Consider the following 19777-nt stretch of genomic DNA (forward strand, 5'->3'; position numbering starts at 1 on the left):
GATGTGGGTGAAGCATCTAGCTTAATGTTTTATATCTAGCTATTAGTCAGCTAATCCTCCTCCCTACTTCACTGAAAATATTTTCATTCTGTCTGACAAAAGGTAAAAAAATTATATTAACTGTGACTAAAAATGTATTGCAGATGACACATTAATGAGACTAATGGTTCTTGCCTTATTCTCTAAAGTTTTCATTTCTTACATTTGTTGAACCTACATCCAGATAGTTTAATAATTACACAGAAGATATCCTTTTCTTTTGGAACTCTAATGGAACAAGATTACAATAAAGGTTTTCAGATCATTTTTGTTTTTTGGGTTTTTTTTTGAGACAGCCTCACTCCATTACCCCACCCAGGCTGGAGTGCAGTGGTGTGATCGGGACTCACTGCAACCTGCACCTCCCAGGTTCAAGCAATTCTCATGCTTCAGCCTCCCACGTAGCTGGGGTTACAGGTGTATGCCACCATGCGTGGCTAATTTTTGTATTTTTAGTAGAGACAGGGTTTTGCCACATTGGCCAGGCTGGTCTCAAACTCCTGACCTCAGGTGATCCACCCACCTCAGCCTCCCAAAGTGTTGGGATTACAGGCGTGTGCCACCACACCCGGCCCAGATCATTTTTAATGTAAATTTAAAAAACAACCCAGTAAATTCCATAACTATATACTAAAAATTCATATAGGTAAAACATTTGGAATGTGTCCAGTTAATCAGAGTAAGACATGACAGAAAGGTAAAGATAAGCGATTTTTACAGAGATTAGGTCTGTGAAGAAACATTTTGACTCATCAAAATTCAGTTAATTTCCATAGCATGGAAGGAGACATGGTAACATTGTTTATAAAGCATTTGGATTTTAAAGGGATCCCATCAATTTATTTAATAATTGTTAAAGGGTAGTAGCTTTTAAATTTTTTTCATCATAATTCAGTATATACTTACCTACATATATATGTGAAACAATGCTTTACCTCATGCACCTTATTCTATTTCCTTTAAAAAATGCTGGTCATGCTGGGTGCAGTGGCTCACGCCTGTAATCCCAGCACTTTGGGAGGCTGAGGTTGGCGGGTCATGAGGTCAAGAGATCGAGACCATCCTGGCCAACATGGTGAAACCCCATCTCTACTAAAAATACAAAAATTAGCTGGGTGTGTTGGTGTGCACCTGTAGTCCCAGCTACTCGGGAGGCTGAGGCAGGAGAATTGCTTGAACCTGGGAGGCAGAGGTTGCAGTGAGCCGAGATCATGTCACTGCACTCCAGCCTGGTGACAGAGCAAGACTCCATCTCAAAAAAAAAAAAAAAAAAAATGCTGGTCATAGGCCGGGCATGGTGGCTCACACCTGTAATCCCAGCACTTTGGGAGGCCGAGGCGGGCAGATCACCTGAGGTCAGGAGTTCGAGTCCAGCCTGGCCAACATAGTGAAACCCCATCTCTACTAAAAATACAAAAATTAGCTGGGCGTGGTGGCAGGCACCTGTAATCCCAGCTACTCGGGGGAGTGAGGCAGGAGAATCGCTTGAACCTGGGAGGTGGAGGTTGCAGTGAGCCAAGATCGCGCCATTGCACTCCAGCCTGGGGGACAAGACCGAGACTTCGTCTCAAAAAAAAAAAAAAAAAATGCTGGTCATAATTCATACATTAATTTCATTACCCACTAATGGATCATAAACTGCAATTTGAAAAATACTGATGAATAATAGCTGGGTGCAGTGGCTCACACCTGTAATCCCAGTACTTTGGGAGGCTGAGGCGGGAAGATCGCTTGAGAGTAGGAGTTCGAGACTAGCCTGGGCAACATAGTGAGACTATGTCTCTAAAAAACAAAAAACGGGGCATGGGTCATGGTGGCTTGCACCTGTAGTCGTAGCTCCACAGGAGGCTGAGGTGGGAGGATTGCTTGAGCCCAGGAGTTTGAGGCTGCAGTGAGGTATGACTGCATCACTACACTCCAGTCTGGGCAACACAGCAAGGCTCTGTCTCAAAAAAGAAAAAGAAATATTGATGAATAATAAAATAATTTTCTAATTTTTTTTCCTTGAAGACATAGAATGTAAGCATTGCCATTTTATATGTTCCTGAACCACTCACTTATTTGGACTCATCTAGACCTTGTTATCAAAAATTGCATCAGCTCACAAATCTTGTACACAAGCATCCTGCTCTCAGACGACAACATTCTGCCCTAGATTTTGTGCCCAAGTACTCCCACCTACAATTCTTTAATTACATTTAGACCACACTGATTTACAACTCAAGTCTGTTCTTTAAGATTTGTGGGGGTAGGGGGAGGGATAGCATTGGGAGATATACCTAATGCTAGATGACAAGTTAGTGGGTGCAGCGCATCAGCATGGCACATGTATACATATGTAACTAACCTGCACATTGTGCACATGTACCCTAAAACTTAAAGTATAATAATAAAAAAAAAGAAAAAAAAAAGATTTGAGTATCTTAAAAAGATACTCAATTCTGCCTGATGCAGTGGCTCTCTGTAATCCCAGTTACTCAGGAGGTTGAGGTGGGAGGATCCCTTGAGCCCAGGAGTTCAAGGCTGCAGTGAGCTATGATTGTGCCACTGCACTCCAGCCTGGAAAACAGAGTAACACTCTGTCTCTAAAAACAAGTAAAAATTTTTTTTAAAGATAGCAATCTCTAGCCAAAGATGATTGAATAAAATAAAAAGTGAATTAAAAAAAAAAGATAACAAATCTGCAGGGGGCGGAAATTGCAGTGAGCCAAGATCGTGCCACTGTGCTCCAGCCTGGGTGATAGAGTGAGACCCTATCTCAAAAAATAAAAATTCCAAATCTCCATTTCTCTTCTTCGCTTTATAGTACTACCTTGCAAAACCCCAAATCCTTCTTGTCAGAGACATTTCTCTAAAACTTAAATAAAAAACAAAACAACAAAAAAAACACACAAATAAAACAAAAACCAAAAATGAACCTCGAATAAACCGCCAATCTTGTGACACTTGATGAACTAAATGGTTCTTTCTACCTACGCATGTGCCAACATAGATGAAAAAGTCATGCCATCAGAAAAACTGGTTTCATTTAAAAATTATCTCAAACTTCCCACAGTCTCTTAGCACTGTGTGACAGTCCTACTACTCTCTGATATGACGATTTCATATCTGCTCTGACTTCATCCCTCCTCCTTCCTTTCTACCCTCATGACCTAGTTTGTGATTTAACCTAGTGGCTCTCAAAATGTGGTTCCCAGACCCGCAGCATGAGTTCATATTTAACTTGTTAAATATGAAGATTCACAGGCCTCACATCAGGCTTATTGAGTCAGAAACTCTGTGGATGGGGCCCAGCAATCTGTGTGCTAAGAAGCCCTGCAGGTGATTCTGATGCGTGAGAAAGTTTTGAAAATGAATCTTGCCTCATACTTCATTGAGAAGCCCTTCTTTAGAATGTAAGCTCTAAGAGGGCAGGGGTTTTTTCTTTTTTGTTTATATATACCCTGAGCACTAGAACAGTGCCTGGTACATAGTAGGCCTCAATAAATATTTGTTGTCTCAAATCATTAAATGGGAATACCCGTCGTTTCCTACTAACATCTAAAAACATACCTGCATCTGTACTGATTTTCTTCTTTTTCCAACTAAGGAAATGTGCCTCATCCTACAGTCAGATTCTACACCATTCTAAAACAACAACAGACTTTCCCTTTCCCCTATCCCCTATCAGTTACTGCCCCATATCTCTGTTTCCCCTCTGTGCCAAACCTCCCTGCCCCCTACTCAGTAATTAACCCATTCTAGCCTGATTTTCACTTCCACTATTCAGTAGTTCTTGACAAAGTCAGTAGTTTTTTTATTATCTTTATTGAGATATAATTCGCATAATATAAAATTTACCCATTTAAAGTTTACAACTAACTGATCACAACCAGTCATAGGTTTCTTTGTTCCTTCTCTACTCCCACTGCTTCACATGACTTGCCTTTTTAAAAAAGTGTACAATTCAAGGATTTTAATACAGTCACAGTTGTTCAACCGTCACCCTAAGTTCCAGAAAATTTTCATCACCCCAGAAAGAAACCCCCTACCTATTAGCAGTCACTCCTCATTCCCACCACCCCTCCAGCCCTAAGCTACCACTACTCTCTGCTTCTATAAATTTCCTATTCTGGGCTTTTCATATAATTATTATTATAGAATTATAAATTCTACAATAAGTGGTCTTTGTGACTGGCTTCTGTTGCTATCCATAATGTTTTCAAGGTTCATCCACACTGTAGCATGTATAAGTGCTTCATTCTTTTTTATGGCTAATATTCCAGTGTATGAATATATTGCATTTTATTTATCCATCAAGTGATGGACACTTGGTTGTTTTTACTATTTGGCGATTATAAACAATGCTGCTGTGCACATTAATGTATGAGTTTTTTGTGAATATATGTTTTTATTTCTCATGCATGTATACCTAGGAGTGGAATTGCTGGGCTGGCCATATGGTAACTTTATGTTTAAAATGTTAAGGAAGTGCCAAAGCAGCTGTACCACTTTACATCTCCACTAGGAATGTATGAGAGTTCCATTTATCCATATAGTTGCCAACACCTGTTATTACTAATTGTCTTTTTTGTTATAGCTATTTTATTATAGCTATCCTAGTGGATGTGAAATGGTTTCTCATTGTGGTTTTGATTAGCATTTCCCTAATGACTAATGATGTTAAAAGGGGAAGAAAAAAACCTGTTTTTCTGTACAGTCACACACTTCTTTTTTTTTTTTTTTCGAGACTGAGTCTCACTCTGTCATACAGACTGGAGTGCAGTGGCATGATCTCTGCTTACTGCAACCTCCACCTCCTGGGTTCAAGCGATTCTCCTGCCTCAGCCTCCCGAGTAGCTGGGATTACAGGCATGCCACCACACTCAGCTAACTTATGTATTTTTAGTAGAGACGGGGTTTCATCATGTTGGCCAGGCTGGTCTCGAACTCCTGACCTCAGGTGATCGTCCCGCCTTGGCCTCCCAAAGTGTTGGGATTACAGGCGTGAGCCACCTTGCCCAGCCTCACACACTTCTGACACTAAAAGTGTGTGGGGTTTTCCCACCAACCAATTCTCCATTTCTCCCTGGACATCAATTAGGTGTCTTACAATTTAACTCAATTCTGACACTAATTGCCTGGAGTTACAACAGATCCCACAGGATAACGGGCTCAGTCCTGCAAGATGCCCCACCTCAGATGCCAGTTAAAAGTCTGGACCTCCCAAACTTCTGACCAACTGGTTATAAATCAAGGTTTCCTACAACCTTCTCCGAAGTTAAATAATTTGCTATAATGTCTTACAAAATTCAGGGAAACATTCACTTATGTTTACTGGTTTGTGAAAGGATATTATAAAGGATATAAATGAACAGCCAGATAAAGAGAGATATACAGGGTGAGGTCCTGAAGGGGAAGGGTCTCAAACATAATAGGTTCTGTTGGAGGTGGGGTATGCCACCCTTCTAGCACATAGTTATGTTCATCAAACCAGAAGCTCCCAAAATCCCATCTTTTAAGGATTTGCATGGAGGCTTCATCACGTAGGCATGTTCAAATAATTATTAAGTCAATCTCCCATCTCTCTCCCTTCCCTAGAAAATGGGAATAGGGTTGAATATTCCAGGCCTCTTATTATGGGTTGATCTTTCTGATGCCCAGTTGCCATCCTGAAGCTATCCAGTAGCCCACCAAGAACTGCTTCATAAGACCAAAAGGCACTCATAGACTATACAGGAAATTCCAAGGGATTTAGAAGCTCTATGTCAGAAACCAGGTTCAAAGACTAAATATTAGAAGATGCTTCCAGTACCCCGTCACTCAGGAAATAAAAAGGGTTTTAGGGGCTCTGTGTCAGGAACCAAGGCGGAGGACAAATATTTATTTCCAATTATGTCACAGATGTTGCACATCTTTTCATGTGCTTATTGCCCATTTGTATATCTTCTTTGGAAAAAAGCCTTTGGGTTGTCTTTTTATTATTGAAATATAAGGATTCGTTACATATTTGGGATACCAGTCTCATTAGATATATGATTTGCAATTTTTTGTTTTGTTTTGAGACAGGGTCTCTCTGTCTCTCGGGCTGGAATATAACGATGATTATGGCTCACTGCAGCCTTGGACTCTGGGCTTAAAGCGATCTTCCTGCCTCAGCCTCCCAATTAGCTGGGACTACAGGTGTGCCCACCATACCCAGCTATTTTGTTGTTGTTTGTTTTGAGACAGGGTCTTGTTAAGTTGCCCAGGCTGATCTCAAACTCCTGGCCCCAACCTTACCCCCTTGCAAAGTACCAAAATTACAGACATAAGCCACTATGCCTGGCAGATTTGCAAATATTTTCTACCAGTCTATGGGTTGTCTTTTCACTTTACTGATTTGTGATACAAAAGTTTTAAATTTTGATGTAGTCCAATTTAATATTTTTTTTCTTTTCTGCTTGTGCTTTTGGTGTCAGAGCTAAGAAAACCATTGCCTAATCCAAGGTCATGAAGATTTACTCTTTTAGGAGTTTTCTTTTAGGAGTTTTATGAGTTTTAGCTTTACATTTAGGTCTGTGATGCATTTGGCATTAATTTTTGTATATGGTGTAAGGAAGGGGTCCAACTTGATTATTTTGCATGTGGATATCCAATTTTTCCAGCACCATTTGACCATTTTGTTAAACAGAAAGTTATTTTCCTTTTTCCTGTTTTTTTTTTTTTTTTTTTTTTTTTTTTAGACAGTCTTGCTCTGTTGCCCAGGCTTGAGTGTGATCTGCCCACCTCGGTCTCCCAAAGTGTTGGGATTACAAGTGTGAGCCACACTCCTGGCCTTTTTTTTTTTTTTTTTTTTTTTGAGACAGTCTTGCTTTATCACCCAGGCTGGAGTGCAGTGACGTGATCTCAGCTCACTGCAACCTCTGCCTCTTGGGTTCAGGCGATTCTCATGCCTCAGCCACCCAAGTAGCTGGGATTATAGGCGTGCACCACCACACCCAGCTAGTTTTTGTATTTTTGGTAGAGACAGGGTTTCACCATGTTAGCCAGGCTGGTCTTGAATTCCTGGTCTCAGGTGATCCACCCACCTTGGCCTCCCAAGGGGCTGGGATTACGGGTACGAGACACTGCACCTGGCCTTTTTTTTTTTTTTTTCACTTATTTGACCTCTCAGCAATTGACAGAGTTCACTGCTCCCTCCTTCAAATACTCTCTACTATCTCGGTTCTCCTTTTACAGATTTTGCCATTTCTCTTTAGTCTTCATAGGTCCCTTGTCTTCTACTAAGCTTCTAAATATTGGGTTTTCAGTTATTGTCACTGTATTGCAAATTACCACAAAACTTAGTGGCATAAAACAATTATTTATTATGCTCACAATGTCTTTCAGTCAGAAATTAAAACTGGGTAAAGCAAGGTCACCTTATCTCTGTTCCAACTGGGGTCTCTGTTGGAAGACTCAGGCTGGGGGACTGGAATCATCTGAAGGCTTGTGAACTTACATGTCAAGCAATTGATAATGGCTACTGCCTGGGAGACCTCAGGCTACATCCACATGAGCCTGTTCATGTGGTTTCTCCACATGGCTAGTTTGGGCTTCCTCATGGCTTGATGGCTTGGCTGAGTATGAAGAGCAAGTATCCAGAGGGAGACAGAGGAAGAAAGAAGAGGAAGCCGGGGGAAGCCACGTGGCCTTTTATGAACAAACTTCAAAAGTCACACAGTATCACTTTTGCTACATTTTTTTCATCCGAGTAGTCACCACACCTCACCCATGTTTAGATTAGGAAGGGAAACAGACTCTATTTTTTTATGGGGAATGGCAAAGTTCTAAAATAGCATGCGGGACCAGGAATGCTGTTGCGGCCTTTTTAAAAATAATCTGCCACAGTCTTTTCTGGCCACACAATTCACATCCTTCCCATGTGCTAAATGCACTCACCCAACATCCCCTAAGATTTCCCAAAGTCTAATCCCATTATGGTATTAGGCTGAAGCTTGAGGTCCAAGATTTCATTGAGGCCAAGACCATGGCAGATAAGATTTCTTATCTGGCAAGTAAGGTTTCTTCCTTTAAAAAAAAATTCTCCAATGAGAGTTTAATTTTTATGTTTATCAAAGTGTATACTATATTAGATCATTTGTGTACCAGTAGTTACACTGATAAGGCAATGAAAAAGAAAATGTTTAACGCTGGAGCCTTATGGTCACAGAAAGTTTTTAAAAATTTAATTTCAATTTTCATACATATTTTTACTGCAGAGACATATTATATACTGCTTTGGCTGAGTCCCATAGGTTTTGGTATGTTGTGTTTCTGTTTTCATTTGTTTCAAGGAATTAGTCAATTTCCTTCTTAATTTCTTTCTTCACCCATTGGTTGTTTAGGAGCATGTTGTGTAATTTCCATGTATTTGTGTAATTTTGAATGTTTCACTTGTTATTGGTTTCTAGTTTTATTCCATAGTCAGATAAGATACTTGATATGACTTCAATTAAAAAAATTTTTTTAGCCTTGTTCTGTGTCCTAACATGTAGTCAATTCTGGAGAATGTTCCATTTGCTAATAAAAAGAATGCATATTCTGCAGCTGTTGGGTGAAATGTTCTGTAAATGTCTGTTAGAGCTATGCTATGGTTTATCTGATGTTTCCTTGTTGATTTTCTGCCTAGATGATTTCTGCAATGCTGAGTTGGGTGTTGAAGTCCCCAGCTGTTATTGTATTGGCATCTGTCTCTTCCTTTAGATCTAATAGTATTTTCTTTATGAATCTGGGTGTGCTGGTCTTAGGTGCATGTATATTTACAATTGTTATAGCTTCTTGAATTGTTTCCTTAATTACTATATAATGTCCTTCTTTGTCTCTTTTTATAGCTTTCGACTTAAAGTCTGTTTTAGCTGATATAAATATAGCTTTTCCTGCTTGCTTTTGGTTTCCATTTGCGTGGAATATCTCTTTCCATCCCTTCACTTTCAGTCTGTGTATATCCTTATAGATGAGGTGAGTTTCTTGTAGACAGCATATAGTTGGGTCTTGTTTTTGTTTTTGTTTGTTTGCTTTGTTGTTGTTGTTTAAATTCATTCAGCCAGTTTCTTTTAATTGGGAATTTTAACCATTTTACATTCAAGATTATTATTAATAGATGAGGACTTACTCCAGACATTTATTGACTGTTTTCTGAGTATTTTGTGTAACCTTTGTTCCTTCCCCTCCTATTATTTATTTTTGTGGTTGGGTTGTTTTCTGTAGTGATAAGATTATTTATTCCTTTCTCTTTCTTCTTTCTCTGTTGGCTCTCCTGGTGAATTTTATAATTTCACATATCTTCATGAGGGCAGTTATCATCTTTTTATTTCCAGATGTAAGACGCCCTTGAACATTTCTCTTGGACTAGACTAGTGGTGATGAATTCTCTTATTTTTTGCTTGTCCAGGAAAGATTTTATTTCTCCTTCATTTTTGAAGAATAGCTTTCCTGGGTATAATATTCTTGGCTAGCTGAGTTTTTTTTCTTTCTGTACTTTGACTATATCATCCCTTTCTCTCCTGGCCTGTGAAGTTTCTGCTGAGAAAGCTGCTGCTAGTCTAATGGAGATTCCCTTATATATGACTTGATGCTTTTCTTTTGAAAAGGAATTCTCTTTTAGAATTATTTCTTTGTCTTTACCTTTTGACAATTTGACAGCTGGGTGTGGTGGCTCATGCCTGTATTCCCAGCACTTTGGAAGGCCAAGGCAGGTGGATCACCTGAAGTTGAGAGTTTGAGACCAGCCTGACCAACATGGTGAAACCCTGTCTCTACTAAAAATACAAAAATTAGCTGGGCATGATGGCGGGTGCCTGTAATCCAAGCTACTCAGGAGGCTGAGGCAGGAGAATTGCTTGAACCCAGGAGACAGGTTGCAGTGAGCCGAAAATTGCACCATTGCACTCCAGCCTGGGCTACAAGAATGAAACTCTGTCTCAAAAAAAAAATTATTTTTTGACTATAATGTGCCTTAGAGAAGACTTGTTTGGGTTGAATCTATGTGGGAACTTTCCAGCTTCCTGGATCTGAATATCTGTGTCTCTCCCAAGACCTACGAAGTTTTCAGTTATTATGTCATTAAGTATATTTTCTACACCATCTCTCTTTTCTTCTCCTTCTGGAATGCCCATAATGCAATTATTTGTTTGCTTAATGGTGTCCCATAAATCCTATATGCTGTTTTCATTCTTTTTTCTTTTCTTTCTTTTTTTTTCTGCCTGAGTTTTTTCAAAAGACCTGTCTTCAAGTTCAAAAATTTTTTCTTCTGTTTGGTCTAGTCTGCTGTTGAAGCTCTTTATTGTATTTTTTATTTCATTCATTGAATTCTTCAGCTCTAAGATTCCTGTTTGGTTCTTTTTTTTTTTTTTTTTTTGAGACGGAGTCTTGCTCTGTCACCCAGGCTGGAGTGCAGCGGCGTGATCTCTGCTCACTGCAAGCTCCGCCTCCTGGGTTCACGCCATTCTCCTGCCTCAGCCTCCCCAGTAGCTGGGACTACAGGCGCCCGCCACCATGCCTGGCTAATTTTTTGTATTTTTAGTAGAGACGGGGTTTCACTGTGTTAGCCAGGATGGTCTCGATCTCCTGACCTCGTGATCTGCCCGCCTCGGCCTCCCAAAGTGCTGGGATTACAGGCGTGAGCCACCACACCTGGCCGGTTCTTTTTTAATGATATCTCTTTGTTGAATTTCTCTGATTTTTGTTAACTGTTCTATATGTATTCTCTTGTATCTCATTGCGTTTCCTTAACATGATTATTTTGAGCCACATGTGATGGCTCATGCCTATAGTCCTGGCTCCTTGGGAGGCTGCAGCAGGAGGATTGCCTGAGTCCAGGAGTTCTGGCCTATAGTGCATTATGCTAATCTGGTGTCTACACTAAGTTTGGCATCAATATGGTGACCTTCTGGGAGCAGAGAACCATCAGGTTGCTTAGGGAGGGATGAACCAGCTCAGGTCAGAAATAGAGCAGGTCAGCCAGGTGTGGTGGCTCACACCTATAATTTCAGCAATTTGGGAGACTGAGATGGGTGAATTGCTTGAGCTTAGGAGTTCGAGACCAGTCTGGGCAACATGGTGAAACCTCGTCTCTACAAAAAATACAAAAATTAGGCTGGTGGCTCATGCCTGTAGTTCCAGCTACTTGCGGGGGCTGAGGTGGGAGGATTGCTTAAGCCCAGGAGGTGGAGGTTGCAGTGAGCCAAGATTGTACCACTGCATTCCAGCCTGGGCAACAGAGTGAGACTCTCTTTAAAAAAAAAAAAAAAAAGAAAGAAAAATAAATGGAGCAGATCAAAACACATATGCCAATTAACAGTAGGATGCCTATGAATAGCCACTGCACTCCAGCCTATGCAGTATCGTGAGACCTTCATCTCAAATTTTTAAGAAAAGATTATTATTTTGAATTCTTTTTCTGGCATTTTATATATTCCTTACGATTGGGGTTTGTTCCTGGAAAATTATTGTGTGCATTTGGAGGAGTCATGTTTCCTCAATTTTTCACATTTGATGTGTCCCTATGTTGATTTCTACACATCTGGTGGAACAGTCACCTCTTCCAATCTTATGGAGTAGTTTTCATAGGGAAAGATTTAGTCATGTGGATGGGTCTTGGGGCATCAGTTGGATGGCTGCATTGGCTATGGTTCTAGGTGGACACAGTGTTGTAGTTTCTTTTGCTGTAATCTGCACTAGTGATGTTTGTGAGTATCCCAATGGCCTAGGCTGTTAGAGTTTATGGCAGAAGTCATGTAGCTTTACTGGGGTTGGGACCATTGGACTATTTCTTAGGTCAGGGACATGTGCATGCACATCATGGGTTGACCAGCTTGGGGTCTAGCTTGCTGAGGCTGTGGCCATGGACTGTTACTCTGGCTGGGGGCACATGTGCATGGCTGCCCAGCTTGGAGGTATGACAGCCTGGGGTGGGACCTCCAGGCTGTTCCTCTTCTGGGTGCAGGCACACAGTTTCTTGGCCAGCATGGGGTCATATCCACTGGAAGAAGACCTGCCAGCCTGTTTCTCAGGCCCTGGGCATGGGCAGGCCTAGGGTCATGGCCTCCAGGAATGGGCCTGTGAGGCTGTTTATCAGGCCACAGGCATGGGAATGTTACTGCTTGGGGGTGTGCCTGCTGGCAGTGGCTCACAGAGCTGCTTCTCAGGCCCAGGACACAGGCACATGGCTGCTTGGATGGCCCAGGGGGATATCTGCCAAGGGCAGCCCGTGGGGCTGGAGTACTAGTTTCTTTGTTTTCTTTTTGTTTGTTTGTTTTGAGACAGAGTCTTGCACTCTGGGCTGGAGTGCAGTGGCATGATCTCAGCTCACTGCAACCTCCACCTCCTGGATTCAAGCGATTCTTCTGCCTCAGCCTCCCTAGTAGCTGAGATTACAGGTTCCCGCCACCACACCCAGCTAATTTTTTTGTATTTTTAGTAGAGACAGGGTTTCACCATGTAGGCCAGGCTGGTCTCAAACTCCTGACCTTGTGATCTGCCCACCTCAGCCTCCCAAAGTGCTGGGATTACAGGCATGAGCCACCACCCCCGACCTGGAGTACTAGTTTCTTAATGACAGCTCCTTAACTATTGTTCCACTTGACTGAAAACCTATGAGCTAAAAAGGCCATTTATCTACTCCCTTTCCCGCTGTAACCCAATATACCCAATATGGTGTGGCATAGGATAATCTTCTCGTTCCCAGAGGGGGAAACCAGGAGGCACATAGAGATCACTGATCTAGAGCAATTCTCTTTTTATGTTTTCTCCCTATATGCTTATCTTAGTCTGCTTTGAATTGCTATAAAGGAATACCTGAAGCTGGGTAAATTATAATGAAAAGAGGTTTATTTGGCTCACAGTTCTGCAGGCTATACAAGAAGCATGGCACCAGCATCTGCTTCTGGTGAGGGCTTAAGAAGCTTCCACTCATTACAGAAGGCAAAAGGGAGCCCTCATGTGGAGATCACATGTTGGGAAATGAGAGAGAAAGGGGAGGAGGTGCCCAGCTCTTTTTAATTTAATAATCAGATCTCACAGGAACTAATGGCACAAAAATTAACTCATTACCACAAGGACTACACCAAGCCATTCATGAGGGACCTGCTTCCATGACCCAAACCAGGCCCCACCTTGAACATCGGGGATCAGATTTCAACATGAAATTTGAAATATCCAAACTATATCAGTGGTCTTTTCCATTTCCGTAGCTTTAAATATCATCCATACATTTGCAACTTCCAAATTTCCTAACATCTCAAATGCCAGACTAGAATATCCAGGTAACCATTTGACACGTTGACTAGGACATCTCAGATATTTCCATCTTTTTTTTTTTTTTTTTGAGACAGAGTTTTCACTCTTGTTGCCCAGGCTAGAGTGCAATGGCACGATCTCGGCTCACCGCAACCTCCGCCTCCTGGGTTCAAGTGATTCTCTTGCCTCAGCCTTCCGAGCAGCTGGGATTACAGGCGTGTACCACCACGCCCAGCTAATTTTTGTATTTAGTAGAGACGGGGTTTCACCATGTTGGCCAGGCAAGTCTTGAACTCCTGATCTCATGATCCACCCGCCTTGGCCTCCCAAAGTGTTGGGATTGCAGGCATGAGCCACCATGCCCAGCCAATATTTCCATCTTAACATGTTAAAATGAATTCTTGATTTCTACTTTACCCCACTTCCTTCACAAACTTGTTATTTTCCTGGTTTCCCCATCTTGGCAGGTGATTCTACTATTCACCTAGTTGCTCAGACCAAAACCCAGGACTCAGACTTCTTTACTTTCTCTCCCTCTCTCACCTCTACATCCAATCATCAACAAGTTCTATATTTTTTTCTCACTCTTTTTCTTCTCATCTGGGTTATAACAACTTCCTTATTGGTTACCCTCCTTCATTCTTGCTCCCTTCTAATTTCCTTTGATATAGCAGTCAAAGCAATAATTTAATTCATATGTCTGACGATGGCACTGTCTTGGTCATAATCTTCTGTGAATTCTTATTACCCTTTGAAAAGAATAGAAATTCCTTACCATCACCTAAAAGGCCCATGTATCTGGTCTTTGTCTGTTCCTCTGACTTTATTCTGTGCCACTTTCCCCTCACCCACTATGATTCACTTCCTCTGGGTTTCTTTCAGTTCCTTAGATATAACAAGCTCTCAAAAGGTTCTGTATTGGCCAGGCGCAGTGGCTCACACCTGTAATCCCAGCACTTTGGGAGACTGAGGCAGATGGATCACCTGAGGTCAGGAGTTTGAGATCAGCCTGGCCAACATAGTAAAACCCCATCTCTACTAAACATACAAAAATTAGCCAGGCATGGTGACATACACCTGTAGTCCCAACTACTCAGGAGGCTGAGGCATGAGAAAATAGTTTGAACCTGGGAGGCAGAGATTGCAATGAGCCAAGATTGCACCACTGCACTCCAGTCTAGGCAACAGAGCAAGAGTCTCTCTCAAAAAAAAAAAAAAAAAAAAGGTTCTATATAAATTTTATTCCCTCTGCCTGGAGTATTCTCTCCTAACTTCCCACTACGACATAACTGAGTCTTTTTCATCCTTTAAGGTATGGCATTCCTGACCATTCTATCTAAGTTCATACCCCTCTTTATTATTCTCTGTCATTGTATCCTGTTTGTTTCCTCTATAAAACTTATCCTGGTCTTGGTGCAGTGGCTCATGCCTGTAATCCCAGCACTTTGGGAGGCCAAGGTGGGCGGATCACCTGAGGTTGGGAGTTCAAGACCAGCCTGACCAACATGGAGAAACCCCGTCTCTACTAAAAATACAAAAATTAGCTGGGCATGGTGGCACATGCCTGTAGTCCCAGCTGCTTGAAAGGCTGAGGCAGGAGAATCGCTTGAACCCGGGAGGCAGAGGTTGCGGTGAGCCCAAATCACGCCATTGCACTCCAGCCTGGGCGACAGAGCAAAACTCCATCTAAAAAACAAACAACAAACAGAAACAAACTTATCCTGCTTTTAAGTTATATCCTATTAGTTTGTCATCTGTCTGTAGCTCCTTTAGGTAAGGAGCCATGTCTGTGTTATGCATCAATATATATCCAGTGCCCAGAGTGCCTACTCAATAAATATTTATTGAATATTGTTTAAAGGTATAATTTTGTTTTGAGACAATGTTATAATTAATATGTAATTATTATAACGTTAAATGTATTACTTTCTAATTCTTTTGCTGAAAATGGCCTTTTATCTTTTTTCTTGCAGTAATTGCCCTTCCTTTTTGGCTGCTGCTTTAGCCAGAGCCACATCAGATGAAGTCCTTCAGAGTGATCTTTCTGCACATTATATCCCAAAGGAAACGGATGGCACAGAAGGGACTGTGGGTGAGTACCTTTCTACATTATTTGTTTAAAAATACTAGAATCTTCTATATGTAGTGGTCCACAGAAAATATCTGCAAAATACTAAATCTAATTACATTTACCTGCTGGTTGTTTATGTAGTGGTAGCAGGGGAGAAAAAATGCAACTTTTTTCAAATAAATCAATAAAAGGAAGGGAAGAAGAGAAAAATACATGTGTATTTTGAAAAAGGTAGAGTAGTATTTAGAAGGTAACTGGAGCAACAGGAGATTGTCATAAGTGATACCTACATGAATGGAAAGATTAAAGTGAGGAATGTGAAGATATTACAAAAAAGATGAGTGGGTGAGGGAGAATTCGAGCAAAACCTATTTGAAATGTTTAGCTTACCTTTAAAAATCCAAGTTAGGCCAGGCGCAGTGGCTCACACCCGTAATCCCAGCGTGAGAGGCTGAGGTGGGCAGATCACCTGAGGTCAGGAGTTTGAGACCAGCCTGGCCAACATGGTGAAACCCCATCTCTACTAAAAAGAATACAAAAATTAGCCGGTGTAGTGGTGCACACCTGTGGTCCTAGCTATTCGGGAGGCTGAGGCAAGTGAATTGGTTGAACCCAGGAGGTGGAGGTTACAGTGAGCCGAGATCACGCCACTGCACTCCAGCCTGGGAGAAAGAGTGAAACTCTGTCTCAAAAAAAAACAAAAAACAAAAAACAAAAAAAAAAACCTTAACTTTGTATCAAGTTAAAAGATACAAAAATTCAAGAAATCAGTTGTAACACAACTTCTCACTAATTATATTAAATTTTATATCTACCAGTAAATAGAGCTCTTTATGATAGATATGCAAATGTGATTTAATTGCATAGGTCATTGTACATTTTTTTCCAGATAAATTATGAGGCTCTATTTCTTAATGAAGTCATGTTTATTAATGTCTTAGGCTTATACATATTTGACAGGATCAAAGAAAATATTTTTATAAAAATTAGAGAATTACTACTCAAAATTGTTAAGAAATTTTAATATTTCATACGGTTTGTTCTATTTAAAGCATTTGCCTTTAATCATGGTATATATGGAGCAAAGCATATGTTAATGAATCTGAGTAGCTAGATTGAAGAGAATGTGAGGCAAATATAAAAGTAAACATTTCTGTTCTTCCTTTATCTCTGTAGATTGTTTGTGACAGAAAATCGGCAAGGAAGGAATTACTCTTCTTGTTTTTACTGACAGTAACTGATTCACCTAGAACCAAATTGTTCCAGAGTCAAGTTGGATAGAATTCTTGCTATAAAGCATTGGTTTTTCCTCTGCTACTGATGCATAGAGTAAAAGCCTTATAATGAAAAGATAGATTAAATTCTGCTTCACTCCAGCCAGGGTAATGGCTGATTCAACTCCAGCTCAGAACAATGACATTAATGACTGATGAGTAATTTACAGCTGTGAGGGGGTGGACTGCTACTTTGGACAGTTTTTTGCATCCCTTTATTATTTTATTTTTCCATTTCAAGCAGCAATTATTTATATACTGATGTCTTACGCTACTCCCTGCAGAAGGAGAATACTTAATCTAGAAAGATTGCAGTGTTGCCCTACATGCCTACTTTGGAAGAATTTTTTGATCCCTTTAAGATAGCAAAAGTGAAATGAAGTGTTTTCTTTTGGTGGATATAATTGGTTATTCTGATTTTTTATTTTTCCAAGAGATTACCTAATAATGTCTCCATACGACTGCTGTGATTCAGACTGATCTACTATTATTCTAAACTATTTGGAAATCTTGTATTTATTTAACCCCAATCACTTAGTGTGAACTGCACCACAGAGAATCTCTATGGGGCATATTGTGTTTATCCATACATCAGAGTAGGAAATGAGCATACTGAATAAGACCTGCTGTCACTGGCTTAAAGTCCTCACTGAAGTGCCTTTTGTCTCTCCTCTTGGTTGTTTCCAAAAACAGTCTTAAAAAAAAAAATCCTTAAATTTCTTTTCATGTTTACATTATCCCTAACAGAATGTTTGCTAAGTGACCTTGGATATCTCACTTGGTACACATTTAGTTTGGTAGATACAACTTTTGTCCAGACAACCTAAAACCAATTTGAGGGCCAGCTGTTGGTGACTCATGCCTGTAATGCCAGTGCTTTGGGAGGCCAAGGCAGGAGGATCACTTGAGGCCAGGAGTTTGAGACCAGCCTGGGCAATATAGTGAGGCACTGTTTCTACAAAAAATTTAAAAATTAGCTGGGCATGGTGGCATGCACCCGTAGCCCCAGCCACTTGGGAGGCTGAGGTAGGAGAATCACTTGAGCCCAGGAGTTCAAGGTTACAGTGAGCTGTGTACTACAACCCGGTCAACAGAGCGAGACCCTGTCTCAAACAATGACAACAACAACCCAAAAAACCAATTTGAAATATCACAGTGTAAAAATTATTATTTTTATTTTTATTTTTATTTATTTTTTTTTTTAGAGAGAGAAAGGGTCTCCCTCTGTTACCCAGGCTGGAGGGCTGTGGGATGATCACAGTTCACTGAAGCCTCTACCTCCTAGGCTCAAGCAATCCTCACACCTCAGCCTCATGAGTAGCTGGGACTACAGGCATGCATCACCATGCTCGGCTAATGTTTGTATTTTTTGTAGAGACAGGGTCTCGCTATGTTGCCTAGGCTGGTCTTGAACTCCTGGGCTCAAGTGATCCTCCTGCCTTGGCCTCCTAAAAGTGCTGGGTTTATGGTCGTGAGCCACTAAGCCCAGCCTACTGTAAAAATTAAAAACAAGAAGGGAAAATGATCACTAATACAGAGGAAATTTAAAAATAATAAAAAGTTTTTGTAAATAAATTTGAAAACCTGGATGTCTTCTAGAAAAAAAAAATAAATTAACAAAGTTTACCTAAGAAGAAAGAGATTGAGAAAATTATCGAGGGACAGTCCTCACAAAAGGCCATGGAGTAGGTGACTCTACAAGTGAGGTGAACATTTTCAAATGCAAAGGCAGATAATTCCAATGGTTTTTTTTTTATTATATAGTTATTTATTTATTATTTTTTGAGCAGAGTCTCGCTCTTCCTTCAAGAATCTTCCTCCCAAAATGCTGGGATTACAGGCATGAGCCACTGTGCCCAGCCCCAATCCCTTTTAAAATGAATGCTCCAACTGCACGGAAAAAGAAGGAAAATTTGCATAACATAACACTGATACCAGAACCTACCCAAGACTAAAAAAGGAAATGAGAGACGAGTCTTAGTTGTCAACATAAAAAAATCTTAAGTAGGCCTGGTGTGGTGGCTACGTCTGTAATCCCAGCACTTTGGGAGGCCGAGGCAGGCAGATCACCTGAGGTTGGGAGTTCGAGACCAGCCTGGCCAACATAGTGAAACCCCATCTCTACTAAAAATACAAAAATTAGCCGGGTGTGGTGGCGTACACCTGTAGTCCCAGCTACTTGGGAGGCTGAGGCAGGAGAATCACTTGAACCTAGGAGGCGGAGGTTGCAGTGAGCCGAGATTGCGCCATTGCACCCCAGCCTGGGCAACAAGAGTGAGACTCCGTCTCAAAAAAAAAAAAAAAAAAAACGACTCATGCCTGTAATCCCAGCACTTTGGGAGGCTGAGGCGGGCGGATACCGAGGTCAGGAGATCGAGACCATCCTGGCTAACACGGTGAAACCCCGTCTCTACTAAAAATACAAAAAATTAGCTGGGCATGGTGGCGGGCGCCTGTAGTCCCAGCTACTCAGGAGGCTGAGACAGGAGAATGGAGTGAACCTGGGAGGTGGAGCTTGCAGTGAGCTGAGATCACGCCACTGTACTCTAGCCTGGGTGACAGAGTGAGACTCTGTCTCAAAAAAAAAAAAAAGGCCTTGACCTCCCAAAGTGCTGGGATTACAGGCGTGAGCCACTGCACCCAGCCTAAAAAAAAAAAAAAAAAATCTTAAGTAAAATATTTGTATATTGAGTACAGCAGTTAATTCATTCACTGAATATTTTATTGAGGGCCTACTATATATGCTACTATATATGTATAATACTAGGGAAACAGCAGTGAACAAAACTTCAAGAACAAAATATTGGGAAGTCTATAGCACAACTTTTATATTAATGGGGGAAAATAAAAATAAACAGTAATCTCTAAAGAAGCCAAAAGAAACATTTGATAAAATTTAATATCATTCCTAAATTTTAAAATATTCTTTATAAAGTAGGCCTAGATGGATATATCTTGGACGTCACATTTATGCTTAATGTATATTCTGGAATTTGTCAGTTGTACATGATTACAAACACAGCTTTAGTTGTCTTCAGCAAAACAGAATGTATTGACTACCTTCCAGGATAAGGGATACACAGGTAGATTCAAGGCATCAAGTGATCTCAACAGAACCTGGCATTTCTCCAGCTCTCAGCTGTACTTTCTTTCA

The 19777-nt window shown here is 40.8% G+C and overlaps 1 protein-coding gene across 4 annotated transcripts in view; it reads left to right on the plus strand.

Annotated features, from left to right (window-relative positions):
* The window catches only part of PPM1E (protein phosphatase, Mg2+/Mn2+ dependent 1E), a 229326-nt gene that overhangs the window by 184544 nt on the left and 25005 nt on the right, over window positions 1-19777 (plus strand). For all 4 annotated transcript variants that reach the window (NR_048561.1, NM_014906.5, XM_047435630.1 and 1 more), the window contains exon 2: window positions 15252-15370. Coding sequence is in view for 2 of the 4 variants with exons in the window: in NM_014906.5 (NP_055721.3) it covers window positions 15252-15370 (119 nt within the window). In the remaining 2 variants the exon portion in view is untranslated. The remainder of the gene's footprint in view (window positions 1-15251; window positions 15371-19777) is intronic.

The sequence above is a fragment of the Homo sapiens genome, chromosome 17 (assembly GCF_000001405.40).
Source record: "Homo sapiens chromosome 17, GRCh38.p14 Primary Assembly".
Lineage (NCBI taxonomy): Eukaryota > Metazoa > Chordata > Mammalia > Primates > Hominidae > Homo > Homo sapiens.